At 52.9% G+C, this 19,896-nt stretch overlaps 1 protein-coding gene and 1 long non-coding RNA gene across 31 annotated transcripts in view, besides 9 other annotated features; one reads left to right on the plus strand and one right to left on the minus strand.

Moving 5' to 3' along the window:
* GATA3 (GATA binding protein 3) overlaps nucleotides 1-19,896 on the plus strand; it is a 29,866-nt gene that overhangs the window by 4,166 nt on the left and 5,804 nt on the right. For 3 of the 25 annotated variants that reach the window (NM_001441116.1, NM_001441115.1, NM_001441129.1), the window contains 3 exons: nucleotides 5,789-6,398; nucleotides 8,807-9,343; nucleotides 14,495-14,640. In NM_001441116.1, the coding sequence (NP_001428045.1) occupies nucleotides 6,158-6,398; nucleotides 8,807-9,343; nucleotides 14,495-14,640 (924 nt within the window). In that variant the 5' untranslated portion in view covers nucleotides 5,789-6,157. Of the gene's footprint in view, nucleotides 1-355; nucleotides 687-1,737; nucleotides 2,122-2,936; nucleotides 4,281-5,189; nucleotides 5,394-5,788; nucleotides 6,399-8,806; nucleotides 9,344-10,958; nucleotides 11,011-14,494; nucleotides 14,641-19,896 lie in introns of those variants that run through there. The other 22 variants (NM_001441123.1, NM_001441130.1, NM_001002295.2 and 19 more) reach the window with 18 other exon arrangements.
* Nucleotides 206-1,049: an enhancer, noted in NCBI's record as "OCT4-NANOG-H3K27ac-H3K4me1 hESC enhancer chr10:8091667-8092510 (GRCh37/hg19 assembly coordinates)". NCBI's record gives its function as "activates a minimal SCP1, AML or CMV promoter by ChIP-STARR-seq in primed H9 embryonic stem cells {active_cell/tissue: H9 hESC(primed)}" and the evidence as "EXISTENCE:reporter gene assay evidence [ECO:0000049][PMID:30033119]".
* Nucleotides 952-3,986, minus strand: GATA3-AS1 (GATA3 antisense RNA 1). Of its 6 annotated transcripts, none has more exons than NR_104328.1 (3): nucleotides 2,902-2,997; nucleotides 1,776-2,080; nucleotides 978-1,226 (listed from the first exon to the last, which is right to left on the minus strand). It is a non-coding gene; the product is annotated as a GATA3 antisense RNA 1 (long non-coding RNA). The 6 variants fall into 6 exon arrangements; NR_104330.1 differs by having other exon boundaries at nucleotides 1,751-2,080; NR_104329.1 differs by having other exon boundaries at nucleotides 978-1,052; nucleotides 1,683-2,080; nucleotides 2,849-2,993.
* Nucleotides 1,050-1,893: an enhancer, noted in NCBI's record as "OCT4-NANOG-H3K27ac-H3K4me1 hESC enhancer chr10:8092511-8093354 (GRCh37/hg19 assembly coordinates)". NCBI's record gives its function as "activates a minimal SCP1, AML or CMV promoter by ChIP-STARR-seq in naive H9 embryonic stem cells {active_cell/tissue: H9 hESC(naive)}" and the evidence as "EXISTENCE:reporter gene assay evidence [ECO:0000049][PMID:30033119]".
* Nucleotides 1,894-2,737: an enhancer, noted in NCBI's record as "NANOG-H3K27ac-H3K4me1 hESC enhancer chr10:8093355-8094198 (GRCh37/hg19 assembly coordinates)". NCBI's record gives its function as "activates a minimal SCP1, AML or CMV promoter by ChIP-STARR-seq in naive H9 embryonic stem cells {active_cell/tissue: H9 hESC(naive)}" and the evidence as "EXISTENCE:reporter gene assay evidence [ECO:0000049][PMID:30033119]".
* Nucleotides 4,006-4,055: a silencer, noted in NCBI's record as "silent region_2115". NCBI's record gives its function as "represses an Ori minimal core promoter by ATAC-STARR-seq in GM12878 lymphoblastoid cells {active_cell/tissue: GM12878}" and the evidence as "EXISTENCE:reporter gene assay evidence [ECO:0000049][PMID:35858748]".
* Nucleotides 4,076-4,205: a silencer, noted in NCBI's record as "silent region_2116". NCBI's record gives its function as "represses an Ori minimal core promoter by ATAC-STARR-seq in GM12878 lymphoblastoid cells {active_cell/tissue: GM12878}" and the evidence as "EXISTENCE:reporter gene assay evidence [ECO:0000049][PMID:35858748]".
* Nucleotides 5,048-5,107: a silencer, noted in NCBI's record as "silent region_2117". NCBI's record gives its function as "represses an Ori minimal core promoter by ATAC-STARR-seq in GM12878 lymphoblastoid cells {active_cell/tissue: GM12878}" and the evidence as "EXISTENCE:reporter gene assay evidence [ECO:0000049][PMID:35858748]".
* Nucleotides 6,340-6,419: a silencer, noted in NCBI's record as "silent region_2118". NCBI's record gives its function as "represses an Ori minimal core promoter by ATAC-STARR-seq in GM12878 lymphoblastoid cells {active_cell/tissue: GM12878}" and the evidence as "EXISTENCE:reporter gene assay evidence [ECO:0000049][PMID:35858748]".
* Nucleotides 11,001-11,050: an enhancer, noted in NCBI's record as "active region_2984". NCBI's record gives its function as "activates an Ori minimal core promoter by ATAC-STARR-seq in GM12878 lymphoblastoid cells {active_cell/tissue: GM12878}" and the evidence as "EXISTENCE:reporter gene assay evidence [ECO:0000049][PMID:35858748]".
* Nucleotides 13,577-14,491: an enhancer, noted in NCBI's record as "OCT4-NANOG-H3K27ac-H3K4me1 hESC enhancer chr10:8105038-8105952 (GRCh37/hg19 assembly coordinates)". NCBI's record gives its function as "activates a minimal SCP1, AML or CMV promoter by ChIP-STARR-seq in naive H9 embryonic stem cells {active_cell/tissue: H9 hESC(naive)}" and the evidence as "EXISTENCE:reporter gene assay evidence [ECO:0000049][PMID:30033119]".

The raw sequence follows: 19,896 nt of genomic DNA on the forward strand, positions 1-19,896 counted from the left end.
GAGACAGAGATAATATGTATTTAACCTGCGCGGTCCGGGGCGCCCTGCCGCAGCGGGCTCCCCGCGGTGTGGCCCGCGCAGCCGGGGCCAGCGGCGGCGCCTGGAGCCGTGTCCCCGGCATAACCCTCCCGCCCGGCAGCCGGCGAGCTGTTTATACAGCTTTACCTGTGCTATAGTCCTATCCAGTAGAAACCCTTGCGCGGCCAGGGTAACCTAATCCAGGGGCCGAGGCGGAGGAGGGGGCGGTGAGGCTGGCTGGGTTGGAGACGGAGGTGTGCGCGCTCCAATACCCGGGATCTCTCCTTTGCCCCTCCTCCCACCATAGGGAAGGAAATATGGACATGGTTCGGGTGACAGAAATGGGGACCCGGGGCTAAGGAGGAAGGAGGCCAGTTTTCACGGCCCGGTCCTCCGGCTTCTCTCCTTTGAACAGGCGCTGGGGACCTCCGCGGCGGCCACAGCTGGACGCGCGCCGCGAAAGGCGCGGCGGTCCCGCGGGCGCCCGGCGTGGGCTAGAGAGGCCGGCCCTGGCCTGGCTCAGGTCGCCCTCGCCCCGCTTTCATCTTGCCCCAGTCGCCCTTTACAATTCCCACACCGAAGGCAAAGCAAGCAAGGAAAGAAGCCGGCGCCTCCCCAAGCGGACCCTCCCTTCCGCGCAGCCTCGGCCACTCTTCCAGAGCGCCCCGGTGCGTACTGCGGCGGGCGCAGGGAATCGAATTAAACGTCTCTGGGCGGTTATTGTCTTTCTCTAATTGCTCCAACAATGGCCTCTATTAAAATGGAGACACCCAATTAAAGGCCCCGCCGGGCCGCTCTCGGCTGCCGGCAAAGCTCTGGCCCCCGGCCTGCGACGTGCAGACCGCGGGGCCGCGGACCCGGCTGGTGCGGGGTACTGGCGCCGGCCTCGACACCTTTGGCCTCCACTTCCTCCCCAGACTCACAGCGACAGCGGCCGCTTCACACCGTTTTTATTGACCGATCGCAGCCCAGCAAGATTGATCGAGCTGGAATGGGAAGGGACTTCTCCTCCCCCAGGCCCAGCTCGCCAGGGCCTCGGGCCGTGCTGCAGTTTCTGGCCTTTGGTGTCGCTCCCCGCCCCCCAGCCCCGCAGATTCCCGGCTTCTTTTCTGTCTGCGCGGCCGGGACCGCCCAGGCAGGCGCCGGGGCTCCGGGGCTCCGGGGGGAGGGACTCGGCGGCTCGGCTCGGCTCCGCTTCTTTCTTCTGCCTGCAAATATTTGCTGCCTCGCTGGAAATCCGACGATTTCGCGCGCGCTCTGCTTGCAAAGTCTTTAAGTAAACACGCTCAAATGACCGCCCCGGGCGGCCCGAGGCACGCTCTCTCCCCCTCCGCGGGATTAGTAACTTTAGGACTTCGACCCCGGGGCTCCGCTTTGCCTGTTACCCAGGTCGGGCAGCGCGCGGGCGCCCGGGGCCGCTTCTCCCGGCACCTCGGCCCCGCGGAGCTCGCCTGGAAGCGCCGGTTGCCTGGCTCTGGTGGGTGGCCCGGCCGCGAGCATCTCCGCGCCCTGGGTCTGTAGCCCTAGGGCTGAGCCCCAGAAAGCCGCGCCTCCGCTCTGCGCCATGGCCTCTGCTTTCTGTACCCGACTGGGTTTCCCCACTTCCACTGGGACAGGGTCTCTTCGCCCCTGGGAGGGCGGGTGGGAGGGACTTGCACGTGGGCATGTGTTTGGGGGTGTGTGTGGTAGCTTAACCCCTACCGAGTGGAGAAAGTCCGGCTCCATTTCTCACCTTTTTCCCAAGAGGACACACATACCCCGCTCAACTTGACGCCTAAAGCAGCCGCTTCCAGGCCTGGGGTTTCGGATAGGCCAAGCCGGCTGCTGCCGACCCGCACGCCGCCCCGGGCCCCGGCTCCTCTCTAGGCGGTGGCCGCGCCGTCGCCTGCTCGGCTGCGGGATGCTTGCTCCCAAGGTCCCAGGCGTCCAGGTTGATCGCCAGCCCCTTACCCTGGTGAGGGAGGCCTTGCGCCCTGCAGAAGCCCCGGGCCCTGCGGCGGCGGCGGCGGCATCCTCCTGGTCGCCTCCTCGCTTTCCTCCACCCGAGCTCCGCCGGCTGCTCCTTGGGAGGAAGGGGACTCGCTAGACCAGGCCGAGGCCCAGGTACCTGGGAGGGGGTCGCGTCAGGTCTGCGGGAAGGCGCTCAGGCTTCTCCGCAGGAGGCCAGGATCAGCTTTGTGGCGGTGGCACAGGGAGAATCAGGACCACCTTTCCCCCTTACCCCCGGCCAGGATCCCCCTTTCCCTCCCCCGCCCGCCAAGGGAGGAGGAAGCCCGGCCTGCTCTTGCCGGCGAGGCGGGTCAGGCCGGCGCCTGGCCTGGCCCGGACCCCCGCAGCCCGGCTCTCCGCCTCAGGCCACGCGCCGCAGCCTCTCCAGCCTCGCTCCCTTCCCCCTTCCTTCCCCGTGGGTCCCGAGGCCGACCTCGGCCCTCCCTCCTCGGCATCCCCCTCCCATCCTTTTCCCTTCCCCGCTGCCCTGTGCTCCGGGCTCCGGGGCTGGGCCCGTGACGTCAAACCCAGTGTGGCGTCGGCGAGACTGGCCGGCGCGGGCCATCAAAAGAGCAACGTCCTCTCTCCCAATTACCCACTGTCAGTCCGGGAACTGGGGCGGGCCGGCTGGGAATTAAATGCTAAATACCCCCTACCGGCTGGCTCCATTACCCGGGACATCCAGCCCCAGGCCCCCCACCCCTCTCTGCCAGCCTCAAACCACCCAGACCAAGAAGGGCCTTCGAGATCTTTTATTTTTCTAAAGGTGGGGGTTGCCCTTCTCCATCCCCGGCCAGTCCGACTTGGTGCTCGCGATTGAATTTAAACGAATAATCCCTACTTCCCCATCCAAAATTAGCGGATAGGCGCCCTTGCACCGGAAGGCCTCCTCACCAGTCTTTTCTTTTTGTCTTTGAAATAATTCTTAGCCTCAGAAGTCAGCATTTTCAAGACCTGGCATCCGCAGCGTTTCTGACGCGGGGACTTCTCTCTTCGGCTCTGAGGTCTCCGCGCGCAGAACCCATGGCAGCTTTTGGTCTTACGCGTGGCTGTGAGCTGGGCTCACGCTGCGTGGCGCATCCACCCCTCGATTGACGCGCGGAGAAGCATTTTTCATTTTTTCTTTCAGCTTGTATCCTTAAATCTTAATCCCGGGCTTCTTAGCAAAAATGCGTGTGCATTCGTTTCTCCTTGTTTATGGAGAGGTTTCCGGTGAATGTTAGACAGCAACTAAATAATTAAAAGGTTTAGAGAGCGCTGTGAGCAGGAGAAGATGCGGGCAGCCTGGCTGGCCCAGGAGAGACGAGTGGTCAGAGAATGAAAGGAAAATCGATGCCTCTTAACTGGGCCGCCTAATAACGGGAGACCAAGTGGGCTCAGGAGAAACGTGGCGGGGGGGGGGGGAGCTTTCTTTAAAAAATTGGGGTTCTTTCTTTCTGTCCTATATATGGAAATTCAGCCCTGATTTCAAACAAACATCAGATTTAAGAAGGTGAGGACTCCAAAGAAGATCCAAACGCGAGACCAGGAAGATTCACGTTTCCACTACTTCTTCCAATACATTTCACTAATCTTTCTACAGGGATAGTGTTTTAAAACACGACGACCCTCACACACCAAGGTGAAGTTGAATATTGTTGTTGTTCCTTCACCGCATGAAAGGAATCCTTCAGAACTTACTTTCAGGGACGGCTTCTTCTATCTCGAATTTTTGCATTTGTAGGGAATTTTATGGGGTAGAGGAGCGAAGAGGGAACAATGTCTCCAATTCAAATAAAACCCCAAATTAAGCTCTCAGCCCCATCGGTGGGATAGCCTGCGGGGGAACCCACTCCCTCTCCTGGCAGCATTGCCCTGGGGGCGAGCAGAGAGTGGATTTGGAGTCTTCTTTTCCCGCCTGACCCCTGCTCGCCCGAGCAGCATTTTCGGGCCAGCGGCTGCAGCCACCCGGGCGCCGCTAGGGGATGCAGTGGCTCAAAGGACCGAGCGGGCGGTGCAGGTTGGAACCCGCGGGGCGGACCAATCGCGGCTCGGCCACAGCCTCGCCCGCTGATTGGTCCCTCCAGGCCCCGCCCCCGCTCGCCCCGCCCCTCTCGCTGGGGCGCCTCGGAGCCGCGTGCCCTCCGCCCCGGGGTGCCCATTGCGCAGAGCGTGGCCTGGAGACCCGCGAGCCGGGGAAGGTCGCCGTGGAGTCCCGACCAGAGGCCGGGGTTGGGGTCGGTGCAGACCGAGGGCTGGTTTCCTTGACTGTGGGAGAAACGCCGGGAGCCGGAGTAAGTAGGGCTCCGGGCGGGGCGAAAGGAAAAGTTGGGTCCCTAGAGTGAAGACCGAGTTCTTTCTGTCCGTCTACACTGAGCGTACTCGGGGAATGAGTTAGAGCCAGTCTCTTCCTCCCCTCCCCCCTTCTCATCCCTCACTGTTGCCACTCAAGTCAAAAGCACACATTGATTACAAATATTAGGTCTGGAAAGGGCAGCTGCAACAGCTGAAGCGTGTTCACTCTGGGGGCTTGAGAGCGCAGAAGGCTCGGGAAAGAGGTGACAATGACAACAAAATTGACGCGGACGCTCCAGTCAAAGGCATCTCCCCTTTATCCGATGACTCACCCTCTTAGGAAGTCGGCCCGAGAGGCAAATCTCAAAATACCTTGACATGAAACATTTTGTTTTTCTGATCAATTTAACGCGCACGTTTCCCCACATCGATGCGCTCTCCCAAACACCCTGCATTAGATCCTAATAATGATCCATGCGTGCCTATTTTTTAAAAGTCTGAAAAAGAAAATTCTGCCCATCGAAATGAACTTCATGAATGGGGCAGGCTGGCTGCACCGGGACGGAATCGTCCACCCGACCCGAATGAATTGGCAGGAGCCGCGGCCACATTTAAAGGGCCAGAGCGCGCGTTCCCTCCCGTCCGCCCCCAAGCCCCGCGGGCCTCGCCCACCCTGCCCGCCGCCCCTCCGCCGGCGGCCGCCCTCTGCGGCGCCCCTTTCCGGTCAGTGGAGGGGCGGGAGGAGGGGCGGGGGTGCGCGGGGCGGGGGGAGAAGTCCTGGAGCGGGTTTGGGTTGCAGTTTCCTTGTGCCGGGGATCCTGTCCCCTACTCGCCAGCGCCAGGCTCCTCCCCCCCGGCGCGGATGACACTAGAACCTCCTTAAGTTGCGTCGCGCCACAGCTGTCTGCGAACACTGAGCTGCCTGGCGCCGTCTTGATACTTTCAGAAAGAATGCATTCCCTGTAAAAAAAAAAAAAAAATACTGAGAGAGGGAGAGAGAGAGAGAAGAAGAGAGAGAGACGGAGGGAGAGCGAGACAGAGCGAGCAACGCAATCTGACCGAGCAGGTCGTACGCCGCCGCCTCCTCCTCCTCTCTGCTCTTCGCTACCCAGGTTGGTACTGGTGACTTTTTTTTTTTTTAAGTTTGATTTTTTGCCCCCAACCACTTGGGAGGACCTAAATCAATTTTAAAAACTCAACTCTCCTCTTTTGGAGGTTTTCTAGGGGCTGAGAGGACGGTCCCGGGACCGGTGTCCCCGAGGGAGGGACTTGCCCTCCAAGTCGTAACAGTCAGCCCTGGGACTTGCCCTCCAAGTTGCTCAGCCAGCCCCGGCTCCCGCGAGCCGGGCTGCAGGGACGTCCCCGAGAGCCCTGCGGGCTCCGCGGCCGTGTCCCCGCGCTCCCGTGCGGGTCTCGGGTGCGCTGGGCGGGCGGGCGGCGCGAGGGGAGGTTGTGCCACTCCAGCAACTCAGGGGCTCATCCAGGTCTCCCATTCTCTCCCTTGCAGGTGACCCGAGGAGGGACTCCGCCTCCGAGCGGCTGAGGACCCCGGTGCAGAGGAGCCTGGCTCGCAGAATTGCAGAGTCGTCGCCCCTTTTTACAACCTGGTCCCGTTTTATTCTGCCGTACCCAGTTTTTGGATTTTTGTCTTCCCCTTCTTCTCTTTGCTAAACGACCCCTCCAAGATAATTTTTAAAAAACCTTCTCCTTTGCTCACCTTTGCTTCCCAGCCTTCCCATCCCCCCACCGAAAGCAAATCATTCAACGACCCCCGACCCTCCGACGGCAGGAGCCCCCCGACCTCCCAGGCGGACCGCCCTCCCTCCCCGCGCGCGGGTTCCGGGCCCGGCGAGAGGGCGCGAGCACAGCCGAGGCCATGGAGGTGACGGCGGACCAGCCGCGCTGGGTGAGCCACCACCACCCCGCCGTGCTCAACGGGCAGCACCCGGACACGCACCACCCGGGCCTCAGCCACTCCTACATGGACGCGGCGCAGTACCCGCTGCCGGAGGAGGTGGATGTGCTTTTTAACATCGACGGTCAAGGCAACCACGTCCCGCCCTACTACGGAAACTCGGTCAGGGCCACGGTGCAGAGGTACCCTCCGACCCACCACGGTGAGTGCGCCCGGGGTGCCGGGGCTCCCGCCGGCCGCTTCAGCCGTCCCGGCTCGGGGAGGTCGGGAGGGACCTGAGGGCGGGGAGAGGTCAAGCGAAAGCCCCCATCTGCCGTTCCTGGTTCATTTACAAAAAAATTGGGGCCCGGAAATGGGCGAGGAAGGCCTCTGGCTCGTCGCGAGAGTGTGTTTTGAAAGAGTCGCAGCAGGCGCCTCTCCCGGCTGGTGGCCCTGGGGCCTGGCGCTCACCTGGCGGGCGCCAGGCCGCAGCCCTCCGTCTCTGCGCGGCTGCAGGTTTTGGGGTGGGGGGTCTCGGGATGTCCCCAAGCGCGGGGTGCCCTGGCTCTGCCTCCGCGGGTCCGGGCTCTCTGGGCCCGGTAGCCGGCGCCGGACAAGCACGGCTGGAACCCGGCTCTTCCAAAAAACCTGGCGTTCCCTGTTACCCGCTAGCTCTTTCTAGGCGGGTGGGCGGGGTGGAGGGGGCCCTCTGCCAGCGTCCCTCAATTCGCACATTTTCAGAAAGGCCCCAGAGACCTATTTATTCACACCCTTCTCCTTGACCTTTTCCCAGAGCTAGTGCCTTTGGTTTTTAGACAGGTCTCTTACCTCCTGGCTTCAGGAATGGAATTCTGATGCTGAAGGGGTTTGGGGGGGAAGACCCCTGTCTTAAGTTTGAGGGATCTGAGATTTCCCAGATTCCCGGCTGCACAGAATTTTCTTGCGTCTTTGCTTTCAAGTCGCCTCCTTGCCTGCAACTCTTGCCTTACTCTGTCTCTGGGTACTGCCCTCCATTAGCCTCCCACCTAAGATGTAGGATACACCCCCGTTTAAATAAAGGCAATTCCAGTACCACCTCTTTCTCCCTTTCACCTGGAGAAGTTCAGGAGAGTTCTGAAATGTAAAAAAAGAAGACCAGGCCTGTGTAGTTTGAGGAAAAAAGATCGAACACTTTCCAGCTCTAAGTTTGTTCCTAAAGAAGAAACAGGGGTAAAACATCGGGCAGAAAAAGTGTGGGGCTTTCTGAGTCCAGCCAGACCGAATTCTGCCCTGATTCCCCTACTCAGAGCCTGCCTTGACACGGATGACATAGCCCCTCCGGCAGCAGGCGTCCTCTACCCTGCTGTCGCCAGGTTTTAAACAATCGTTTCTGCGGATGGGGCGCTCTTTGCCCACGTTCTGTGCGGATCAGCAGTTAGGTGGAAATGCGGTAGAGGCAGACTTAATATTATTTACTATACTACTTCCTGCATAATATGAATCTTGACCCTTGGTGTTCAGAGAACTCTCTTTCCCTCTCCACTCCCCTCCCCTTCCTCTCCCTTAAGATTTTAGTTTCAGTATTGTTCTTAATGGTTGAATCGAATGTCAAATGCTGAGGCAGGTACTGGCTTTAAAGATCAAGAAGTGTGTGGATTTGCACTTGCTTTTTAAATGTACCCCTCAGAGTGTATGAGTTACAGCTACCTTAAGATTGTGCGTTTTAAATGAAGGCTAATCAGACTCTGTGTCTGAGTCATCTTTCATTTAAAATATACACATCAACTGGAATTTTGTGTCTTAGGGGCTCAGGTGAAAATTCACCCATGGCACTGGTGGGATCATAGCTTTATTGAGGGTGCATGGGGCTTACGTTATCTCCTTCTCCTTTAGGATTTGGGAGGGTGAGAAAAGCAGAGAAAATGGCCATCCCAGGGTCCAGCCTTGGGAACTTTCTCCAACAGCCCGAGCAATGAAAACGTCCCTGCAAATCCCATTTTAGGCCTTTTGCGGGCAGCCTGGCCGTTTCTGAGCAAGCACTGGGTTAGGTTTCCGGAAACTAACCCTGAAAGTCTCCTGACTTCTGTCCCAAGGCCTCTCCTTCCTGTATTTGGTGCTGGGAGCTGGGCCTGACTCCAGGGTCGTTTTCTGGTGTGGAGCAGTTGTGTGGCCGGGCTCCATCCTTCAGGCCTCCTCACTCACAGCCGGCTCTCTTATCAGGCTGGCTGGGATTAAGTCCGAGTCAGGGAACTCAGGGCCATTGAAGGAAACCCATAAATCAAGTCAGGTTCTAGAGAGAGACCTTGGGGAATGTGATTTAGGCGGTGTATCTGGAGAGGCCAAATAAGCAAAGGGGCCCTTCTCCCCCTCTGCAGCAACCTCTCGGGTGTCAGCCACAGGCCCTTCATTCTGCTACATTTGATGGGACATCCCTGTGGGAGAGATGGGTGAAGGATTCTGTCCCCAGCCTGACCCCCAGGTGTGCCAGGCAGGTACTCCGGGGACCGCCAGGATGAGAGAGTGGGCCTGAGCCCGGGCTTTTGCTGAAAAGGAGGCCGATGCGAGGTAGAGATTCCCCAGGTGTCCCTGACGGCCTCCCAGGGCCACACTCACCCTCCTTCTCTCTCCTGCCCTTTCCCCGTTGCCCCACAGGGAGCCAGGTGTGCCGCCCGCCTCTGCTTCATGGATCCCTACCCTGGCTGGACGGCGGCAAAGCCCTGGGCAGCCACCACACCGCCTCCCCCTGGAATCTCAGCCCCTTCTCCAAGACGTCCATCCACCACGGCTCCCCGGGGCCCCTCTCCGTCTACCCCCCGGCCTCGTCCTCCTCCTTGTCGGGGGGCCACGCCAGCCCGCACCTCTTCACCTTCCCGCCCACCCCGCCGAAGGACGTCTCCCCGGACCCATCGCTGTCCACCCCAGGCTCGGCCGGCTCGGCCCGGCAGGACGAGAAAGAGTGCCTCAAGTACCAGGTGCCCCTGCCCGACAGCATGAAGCTGGAGTCGTCCCACTCCCGTGGCAGCATGACCGCCCTGGGTGGAGCCTCCTCGTCGACCCACCACCCCATCACCACCTACCCGCCCTACGTGCCCGAGTACAGCTCCGGACTCTTCCCCCCCAGCAGCCTGCTGGGCGGCTCCCCCACCGGCTTCGGATGCAAGTCCAGGCCCAAGGCCCGGTCCAGCACAGGTAGGAGCCAGCTCTTCCCTGGAGCCTTTTCTCCTCCCTCCTCCCCTTTTCCTCAATCCAGGGCCGCACCCAGAGGGACCCCTCAGGGGAGCCGGGGTGTCCCAAAGCCTGCTGAGATGCCATTCTTCCCATTCTTCCTGCCGGGAAGGCACTGCATGTCCTCCCATCCTAGCTCACGCCTGGCCTCGGAAGCAGAGGGGAAGTGGGATCTGATTTAAAACCCCCCAATGAGCTGGGATAGGAAAAAAGACAAACAAAAACAAAGTCATGCCCTCTTCTGCCTGTCGCAGGACTTCTGGATTGGGCTGGTAACCTTTAGTCAGTTTCCAAGACCAAATGGAAGGCCGAGGGAATAATTCTTGAGTGTTTCATGCTAAAACGAAACCTCCTCAAGCCTAAACAAACACAGGTCCCTCTATGACCCCTTTGGCCTCTGTCATTCTGACTGTTCCTCTCGCTCAGCTCAAAGGGGACCACGCAGTGAGGACAGTCCTTTATTAGACGTGTAGACACAAAGTGTGTGTGCATGAGCCTGGCCAAAGCTGCACGCATATTCTCTGCGTGGAAAAGGGGGCTCTCAGCTGAACTGGGAGAAAGCGGTGGCTTTGCATTGGGGAAGCAGAGTTGAATGAAAATCAAATGTCGCCTGGCCCAGTTAGTTACCTGCAGCGTCTCCTAGAGCTCTCAGTGCAGTCAGGGGCAGGAAACCGTATTAGGACATATTGCTTGGCTGAGCTGCAGCCAGAGGAGGTAGAAAGGAACGGAAAAGTGCTCCAGGTGTGTATCTCAGCTTCCTGTGCTCTGTTCCTTTCCAAAATGCAAACGCTGCCTAGCAGCACGCTGCATTTTTATTCAGTTGGTGTCATTACTTGCATGAAGAAAAACCCCACACAAAATACTTTGGCTTTAAAAATAAATCGATCTATCACCAATTCCATTTCTAAACAAAGTAATTGAGTCAAAAGAGAGCTAGGGATTCTCTGATATTGATTTAACTGTATTATTAGACAGGGTTTGGTGAAGATTTTGATGTCTCCTTAGGCGTGTCCATTTCAGAGTGGGCATCTCTTCTCTGATCGGCTCCAGGTATCTTGCCTCCGCTGTCTCTCTACAGATCCTATATAGAAAGCAATCGTGAAAATCACTTGTCTTTTAGGGATGAGATGAGCAGCCTTGAAACCGAGCTCCCAAAGCTCCGGTTTGAAAAACTTCAGAGGGAGTACTCTGGGAGCCCAGTGACCATGAGATCAGTTTTCAGGGTTTTTTTCCAGGGTGACATTCACTCCGACTGCCTGAGCAGGACTGTCTCTATTTAGTTGATATGTTTTAGCTAATCCAATTATTTTCAGACTGCTGCACGCGACAGTTGCATTGTTTATCCTGAGCCAGGAACTTTAATAGAGTCCGGATGCGGTTAGGCTGACAGAAGAACCCAGACCTGCATGTTCAGTACATGAAAGTAGGCAGGAGGGAGAGGGAGGCAGGCTAGCTGGTGGAGTCAAAAAGAAAGCAAGAGGCCGGGAGAGCTGGAGGCACAAAGTGGCCACGGTGCCTGGCAGGGGCTGGGCTTGGGGGTGGAGGGAAGGATTAAGAAGTGGGGTGCAGCTTGACTCAGAAACACAGGCTGGGGAGCTGAATCGAAAGAGAGCAGACCTATGCATTTTGAGGTTGTGATGGGATTTCTTTTCTTTTTCTTTTTTTTTTAAAGTTCTCTTTTCTGGTAAGGCTATGAGGTTGGGGAGAGCTCGTGGTATCTGAGGCCGGCGTAGTGGTTTGTGCGGGGGGAGGGGACAGAGTGACTTTTCCAAGATACTCTGGTTTCTTTACCCTCATTTCCGTGTTTGATTTCTCCCCCTCTTGTGCACACTTTCTGCCTTAAGTTTAGTCTTTTCTTTCCTCTCATTTCTTTCCATAAGACTCTGAACATGGAGGGGAGAAAGAGAGGGCCGTGGTTTCCCTAAGCCAGAGCTAGGAATACCGATACACCGATTTTGGTTTTTTTGGCGAGGAGGAGAGGAGGCCATTTCAATTTGGCCTTTTTACTTCCTCCTTCTTAATTCCTTTCTCACAGTCGTGAAAACCGAGAACAGCACACCTGGCAGGGGCGGCGAGCGAGCTGGGACTTTTGGGAGTGTGGAGGGGAAGTTTCGAGAAGCCCCTCCTTTTGCAGGGGGTGGAGGTGGTGGGAATTCTTCAGGAGGGGATTCTCTTGGTTTTAGTGGTTGCTCTCTCTCTCTCTCTCTCTCTCTTTTTTACCCCTTTAACCTCTTCTTTGCAAATGCATTTGCTGAAGGAGGACACAGAGAAGAGAGAGTTTTTGGGGTTGTCGCTGGAAACGGTTGAAGTCGTGGTTAGGGCACCTATTGCTGTCTTAACGCCTGGGCTTTCGGGGCTGGGACGAAGCTTTTGCAAACAAAAGACAGAGTCTTTGTGTCCAGGGCCGCTTCTTAGCTCCACTGCCACCTTTCCAGTTGGGCATCTCCCTCCACTGTCATCTGATCGAGCTCCTGCCCTGCTCCCTACCCCCTCCCACAGCCTGGTTTAAGGGTTTCAGGCCAAGGCGGAGCAAGAGGCATTTGCCAGCAGCTGTTGAATGTCAAGAGGCCTCGCCGCTCTGTGGTTCTTGTCACCTAAGAGAGAGGTGTCTGCCTGAGCAGCTCACAACAGGCAGGGGTGAGGAGAGGGGAGGAAAGAAGGCAGGAGAGAGTCAGGGCCTCCATTAGGAAAACTGGCTGTTTGCTGAAGTGACAGACCAGAGGCAGCAAGGAAAAAAGAAGAAGAAAAGCCCATAGGAGGCAATGGCAACCTTGCCGAGTGAATCAAGACAGAAAATTACCCTAGTGTGCAGAACCTTGTTGAAGAGGTAACCGTTGCTAGCTTTCAAGGTGTTTCTGAAAAGGAAGCTATCACCCTCCCCACCACCCTGCAAATGAGAGGAAATCAGACTGATCATGTCAGGCTGGGAGGTCCCCCAGCACCAGGGTGCCCAGGAGCCGGGTGGCAACCACGCTCCCCGCCTCCAACCACAGCGGCCTCTCCTCACACTGCCCTCTGCCCAGTGCCCAAGTAGGGGAGGAGCCCGAGGGGGTCCCCTGTCTGGGCAGGGTGGGGAGTGGGCCTGCAGTCCTAGCTGGGACAGGGCCAGTGCTGCCCCAGAAGGGGCTGACCCAGCAGCCACCAGCGACACAAAAAGGCAGGCCTGCGGCCTGGCTTGGGCTGCAGCCGGTTACTCGCCCACTCACCCTTCACTCTTTCCTTCCAGCCTCCCCCACATCCAGTCTGCCACATCCCTCAGGCTTTTGACCCCAACTGAAAGGTGTCTGGGTGTGATTCAGGCCTGAGCCTTTTTCAAGAACTGAGAAGAGCCGTTGGGTACTTAGGAAGGCGCCTTTGGCATGCACTGCAGCGTGTTTGTGTTTAATCTCAGGGGTTCTGGGGCACAGCAAAGGCTCTCTGGGGACCCTAGGCTAAGAATCTTTTGGAATGTGGAGCAAAAAAAAAAACCTCTCTTACATCCTCATTTTTTTTTTTTTTTTAAAAAACAAAGTAGACAAAAACTAGTGGGCACCATCCCTGACTTTCAAGGGTGCAAGACCCTCTTCCATTTGCAAAAGTCTTTAACTTTCCTGAAGAACTTACCCCTGGAGAGTATCACAGGCCCCCAAGTGTGAACCCCCCTAGTTCCCTCCTACTTGATCTGGGGCTTTCCAAAGGCCCAATAGGTCCCATATCTGCCAAGGCAGATTTTTCCTCCTTTTAGGGGAATCAAAATTCTCAAGCACCCTACTGGGTTCTCTTCTTCTACCCCAGTGGTCCGGGCAGGTTGGAGGTCATTAATTACTCTCTTAAAACAAAACAGTCTTCAGAGCTCATTTTTCTTCCCTACCTACCCTCCGGGGTCCTCCTCTGGGCCTCCCCTCTCTGGGGGACCAACTTGAGTTAAGCCTCCTGTTCCTGCAAGGAAGGGGAGTCCTGGCTTTCTCTGGGCACCCAGAGAACTGGGCGCTAGAGACCCGTGTGTCCCTGGGTCCCCCAAAACCAAGGAGATTCTCCTAGAAAGCATCTTTCTCTTCCTCTTGCAAAGTTGAAATCAGTTAGCCAACTCCCCCATGTCTTGAAATGGTAATTTAAGGGATTCTTCCAAGGAGCTTTCTGGGTGGGTCTGGGTCGCTTTCCAGCCTGGGCTGAGGGAGTGAATGCTGCTCAGACTTCCTACCGGCCTGGCTGGTTTTTCGTTTATTTTGTTTGTTTGTGTTTTTGGGAAAAGAGAAACTGTAGGCAGGCCTTGGTTACTGAGCAGCCACCCCGCTTTGTTAACTTGCCTCTTCTCCTGATCTTCCTCTGATCGGCTTCACTCTGTCCTCCCAAACCTTCCCTTTTCCTTTTTCCCTCCCTCCCCCTCTTCCAGGTTCCCTGCCTAAAGTTTGCATTTCCCCCTTGCACCCCCTGGCTGGGGTCATACTTTAACTTCAGTCTCCGTAACAGCGGCTGGAAAGCTATGGAAACCCCTGCTGGGTCCTAATCGCTTCCTTTCCAGCCAGGGACATTTGCAGTTTGATTGGAAGTAAAATCTAAAACCCTAGCTAGTGAAATCAATCAGCCGATTGATCAATCTATGCATCTATTTATTATCTGTTCACCTATCTAGCCATTGATGAATCCTTCCTTTCCCCCATCCTAATCTTCATTATTTAATCAATCTCTATAGACAGACCCATGATGATAATGGGTCACCTTTGTCTTCCTTTTTTTCCTTTGAGGGAAATGAATGGAATGTTTGCCTTTTGCCACCATCCAGGGCTCAGGATTTTCTCAGGGAAGTATTTGTAGCTGGAATCTGCATTCCTCCTTGGTCCTGCCCGATCTTCTCCATCAAGTCGGGCAAGCCAAGAACAGGGTTCTGTTGCAACGATGCATCTGCCCCTTCTGCGGGCGCCTCCGTGTGTGTCGGGGGAACGGTCATGCCAGGACAGCATTCCCCAGCTCAACTTTGGAGCATCTTGGAAAGAGGTGGGGGTGGACACGCTCCCCAAAAGAGGAGGGAGAAGGAAAAAAGTTCTCCATTTTACGTTTCTCCCCCAGTTCCAAATGCTGTCAGCTTTCCTGCGTGTTTTCCTTCCCTAAGTGGCTTATCTGTGCTTTTGTTTCCAGAAGGCAGGGAGTGTGTGAACTGTGGGGCAACCTCGACCCCACTGTGGCGGCGAGATGGCACGGGACACTACCTGTGCAACGCCTGCGGGCTCTATCACAAAATGAACGGACAGAACCGGCCCCTCATTAAGCCCAAGCGAAGGCTGGTAAGTTCTCGGGAAGGGATGGATTCCATGCTGACCATTCTGGGTTTCTCATTTCCTCTCTTCCGGAAGGACAGCTTTCTGCAGGAAATTGACAGGATAGCCTCCAATCGTGTCAGCTGGCTTGGGACAGTTTTTTTTTTTTTCCTTTTTCTTTCTTTCTTTTCTTCTTCTTCTTTTTTTTTTTTTTTTTCAAATTTGATACACAGAACAGCTCTTTTCCCCTCTTTTTCCCCATCCATGTTTCTTAAGTCGCTTGTGAACATTTTAAGGAGACTGAATTCTTGGTTATCAAATCTGCAGTGTATTCCTGAATAGAATAATGGTATGAACAGGACCAGAGCAGCTGGTTTAAGTGCACTGATGAGCACCGTTTGACAGATAGAGACATTTAGTATGAGGACGGAATGTTCCAGAAACCATCCAGAATGGGTTCCTGAAGTTGTGGCGTGTGGCTTCCCAGGAAGGATTACAGACTCAGTGCAATGGATGGATTTGTTATGCTAATGCTTCAAAATGGTTGGAGCTGATTAAATGAATTTCAGAGGCTTCACCAGCAACCAGTGAGCCTAATGCCACTTTCCTCCTTTCTTGGTCTCAGCATTTGAGAACTTTCCACAGGCAATTCCTATGGGAAACGTCGTGTGAGTCCTCTCATACCTGGCATTTGGTCTTCTTTTCTCTTTGAACTACTACCAGTAAGGTGATAGTTTTTTCTCTCCTCTCTCATTATTCTTTTAAAAACTTTTTAAGCATGAGGGATCCTTGAGAAAACCTGGCTCTGTCAAGCATTTATAAGGAAGACAACTTATAGGGGACATTCATTTGCAAGCTCCTCTTTGGAAGTTTGAATAGTGAATGTATGTGACAGACAAATAACAACTCTAGCCACAGCTAAGAGATCAAAATGCTTTATGTGGTGCTGACATTCACCAAGTCGAGATGGGAGGAGGGGAATTTCCCCACGCAGATTAATGGATAAATTAGCATCCATCAATTTCTAAGGAAGGAAAAAGAACACCTCTGTATTCTTTTTAAAGAATACTTTGCCCTCCCCATCAGATTGTAGTGCAACTCAACACCTTTCACATCCTATTTTGAAGAAGGAAAAACTTTCTTTTTTTTTTTTTTTTTTTTTTTGAGACAGAGTCTCACTCTGTCACCCAGGCTGGAGTGCAGTGGCACGATCTCGGCTCACTGCAACCTCCACCTCCCGGGTTCAAGCAATTCTCCTGTCTCAGCCTCCTGAATAGCTGGGAGTAGGGACACCCGCCCCCACACCCGGCAAATTTTTGTATTTTCAGTAGAGACAGGGTTTCGCCTTTTTGGCCAGGCTGGTCTCAAACTCCTGACCTCAGGTGATCCACCGCCTCGGCCTCCCAGAGTGCTGGGATTACAGGCATGAGCCACCGCTCCCAGCCAAAGAAGGAAAACTTTCTAGGGATGGAAATGTCCACATGACTTTAATCTTTGACAATCCTGGATATCGAGGCTTTATTCTTTCTGATCTTTGCCCCCTTCTCCAACTTTCTCAACCTTCCCCCACCTCTCCTCCAGCAGTTTGGTTTTTTTTTTTTTTTTTTTTTTTTTCCTTTCTCTCATGTGCAAAGCTGACTTCCTAGGAAAAAGCTGCCGGATATCTGAGCACTGGAGATAACTCATAAACAACAACTCAGCTTCCCCAACCTAAACACCAAGATGTTTGAACGTATCAGAACAAGAAGTGTTTGAAAAAAAAAAAAAAAAAAGGCTAGAGGTGTTAGTGCAGAATGAATATGATCACACCACAAAAGAATGTTTTGAATCACTCAAAAACCTGGCCTTAGTAAAAAAAAAAAAAAAAAAAGAGAGAGAGAGAGAGAGGAAAAAAAAACAACAAACAAAAACCTTCTTGTTAAAATGTGTCTTGGTACCATTATAGTTGTTTTTTTTGTTTTTTCTGTTTTTTTTCTAATAAAAGTAAAGAAGGAAAAAGAGGGATTAAAAGTCTCAAGGCATGGGCTGATTGGTGAGCAAAAGTTTATTTGACATTTTCTTGGGTCTTCTTCCTCTGTCTGGTCAGATTGCAGAGGAGGATCGTAATTCCATTTTATGCAATTTTATCTCCACTCACCTTTCATAGGAAATCTCTAGAACTCTGAGTAATAATTGCTTTGAATTTTAGAGTTCAATGACTGTCACATTTTCATCTGTCTTTTCTTTCTTAATCATCTGTCTTTGGTGGTTTGATGTTTTTAGTTCTATAGAATTCATAAGCTACAGGGAGGTAGAACACAGGACACACTCAGATTTCTTTTTCTTTCTTTCTTTCTTTCTTTTTTTTTTTTAGCCCTGAGATGTATTTGACTTCTGAACACCTAGAACCCTTTGTTTTCTTCTTTCCTGTATTCCCTGACCCTTTATTCCAGTTCCAGCTTGCTATTTTTGTTTGATACATTTGCAGATTCACTGAAGACCACCCAGCCCATATATAGCTAGCTCTTCTGTGAGATGTGTATTTAACCCTGAAAAAACTAATGCAAGAAATAGGAGAGATGACCGAAGGGAAGACTCATAGATTCTTTTCCCCCTGGCATTGCCAGGATTTTCATACATCTCACCACTAGTGAGAGGCTGAGCTGCTTGCTTTAATATACTGTACCTCCTGCTAGTGACCCAAACAGTGTGGCTTTGAGAGACCCTAAGTTCCCATAAAGTTTGTAGTACTGGAAGCATCTTCCTTTGCTTTTATTTAGATTGCTGTCAATAGACTGCAAAAGATTACATGCTGTACCTTGTCATCTGGAGCTCTGACTTTACCAGTTGGCATTATATGCTTGTACTCTGTACATTCAGAATTGCTGGGCTAGGAAACCCAGGTGCCTGAGTGATATTAATCTGCTATATCTGAGTAGCTCTTCTAAAAAAAAAAAACACTATAGGAAGATAATAATCACATATAATTTAATTGTCAAAATCATTAAGCACTGGTTTTACGTAGTACTTTCTCCCAAAAAGTACACAAATGAAACAGTTGTTTAAGCATTAAATTACCATATTTCATAAAGGCAGTCGGGCAGAGGCATATGGGGTTAGATCAGCACTCATGGACAATGTGAATTACATTCAAGATGGACAGCAAAAGACTCCCATCTTCTCCCTTATGATAGGCCAGGGCAGTTTTTAGTTTCCAGTTCCTTAGAACACAGAAAAGAAAGAATTTTTTTAAAAAGGTCATATATACTCTGTTATTTACATCCCACAGAAGCATATCTGTGAAACAATTTAGCAACTTTGAAAGAAAAAGGGTCACTCAGGTTAATTCAAAATTGTCACTGGGTTCTCCATATCTGGCAGCTTCGGGTGTTGGCTTCAACTTTTTGCTTGATAAAATATTGATATAAAACTGTACCAGAATCCCAGGCCGGGTGCGGTGGCTCACTCCTGTAATCCCAGCACTTTGGGAGGCCAAGGCGGGTAGATCATGAGGTCAGGAGATAGAGACCATCCTGGCTAACACAGGTGAAACCCCGTCTCTACTAAAAATACAAAAAATTAGCTGGGGCGGTGGCGGGCGCCTGTAGTCCCAGCTACTTGGGAGGCTGAGGCAGGAGAATGGTGTGAACCCAGGAGGCGGAGCTTGCAGTGAGCCGAGATCGCGCCACTGCACTCCAGCCTGGGCGACAGAGCGAGACTCCGTCTCAGAAACAAAAGAAAACATAACAAAACAAAAAACAAAAAACAAAAAACAAAACTGTACCAGGATCCCTATAGTTCTTGTTCTGTGTTCTTATAACCATACCAGAATTTTCTTCATCACAGACAGAGACTAAACTCTTTCTTCTCTTACCTTTCCTTTGATAATATTTTTGATCCAGGAATGGGGATAATTTTGCAGTTAAAATTTTCTTTTTATGATGGAAGGTGAGGAGGAGAGAGAGGTTTACATTAGAAGTGACCCAACTCCATTTTCTTCCAATGGTTTTTTTCAGTTTTATTTTTTTAAAGCGTGAACAGAGAATAGTCACCTGATCAATTTAAATATGTCAAAAAGTGAAAGAAAAATCTCTCTTTTAAAGGAAATGAGGGCAGTAACACAACCAAGGAATCAAAATTCAGGTTGAGGCTGACCTTTGACCTGCAACTATGCTACTCCATGAACAGCAAGTAGGAAATGGCTGATTTCATGAAGGTGGACTGGCATCAGAGGAGGCGAGGGATCCAGGGTTCCTGATGAGTGGCAACATTCCTTGGTCTTTTGAGTTTGTTTGATTGGTGAATCAAATTTAGGTGACAGCCAGCTAAAGAGAGTGAGGGTGGCTGTCTTGTGAATGGGAAGTGACCAAGCTTGAAAGCACAGACTGTGGTGGCTCACGCCTGTAATACCGGCACTTTGGGAGGCCGAGGCAGGTGGATCACTTGAGGTCAGGAGTTCAAGACCAGCCTGGCCAACATAGTAAAACCCTGTCTCTACTAAAAATAGAAAAATTAGCCGGGCATGGTGGCAGGTGCTTATAAATCCCAGCTACTCGGGAGTGTGAGGCAGGAGAATTGCTTCAAGCCGTGAGGTGGAGGTTGCAGTGAGCTGAGATCGCACCACTGCACTCCAGCCTGGGTGACAGAGCGAGACTCCATCTCAAAACGAGAAAAAAAGAAAGTGCAGGCTGTATAAATTTAGGAGGTCTTGTTGACCTAGGATGTCCTACTTGGCGCTTCCTCAGGTGTGTCACCCATGTGTATGTGCCACACACTTGCACAGACATTCTTTGCAGAATTTGCTGTTGTGTTGGCACACTGTTCTCTTTATAACTCAGCATTTCTTTATTTGCGATCCAGAGTGTTTTTGGTGCTTGGCTTTGCGCCTCCTTTGCTGTGAATGCATCCTGATGGCTGGAGCCTGTTTGAGGATGGATATTCTTGGGAGTTGTGTTTGAAAACAACCTCTTGTGGCCCTGGACTTGGTGAAAAAGGCAACTGAAAGCCCAGTTCCAAAATGAGGCTGGCTAATTCAAAATTGCCACCCATAAAAATTAACCCTCTGGTGTACTTTGTGGGTTGAGGGTAGGAGGCTAAGACTGCCAGGGAGGAGGCCCCGGCTTCCTGCTCCTACCGGGGAGCAGCAGGTGAAACTCTGACCACGTTACTGCAATCCTGACATGCTCCAGTGGAGTGGCGACATTTTTCTTCTCGAGGCAGCTTTTGGGGATCTGTATTACTTTCATGTGGACCACTTGCTAGTTTTGATTTCAATGATAATTTCTTCCTTCCTTTTTTTTTTTT

This window comes from Homo sapiens, chromosome 10, assembly GCF_000001405.40.
Source record: "Homo sapiens chromosome 10, GRCh38.p14 Primary Assembly".
Lineage (NCBI taxonomy): Eukaryota > Metazoa > Chordata > Mammalia > Primates > Hominidae > Homo > Homo sapiens.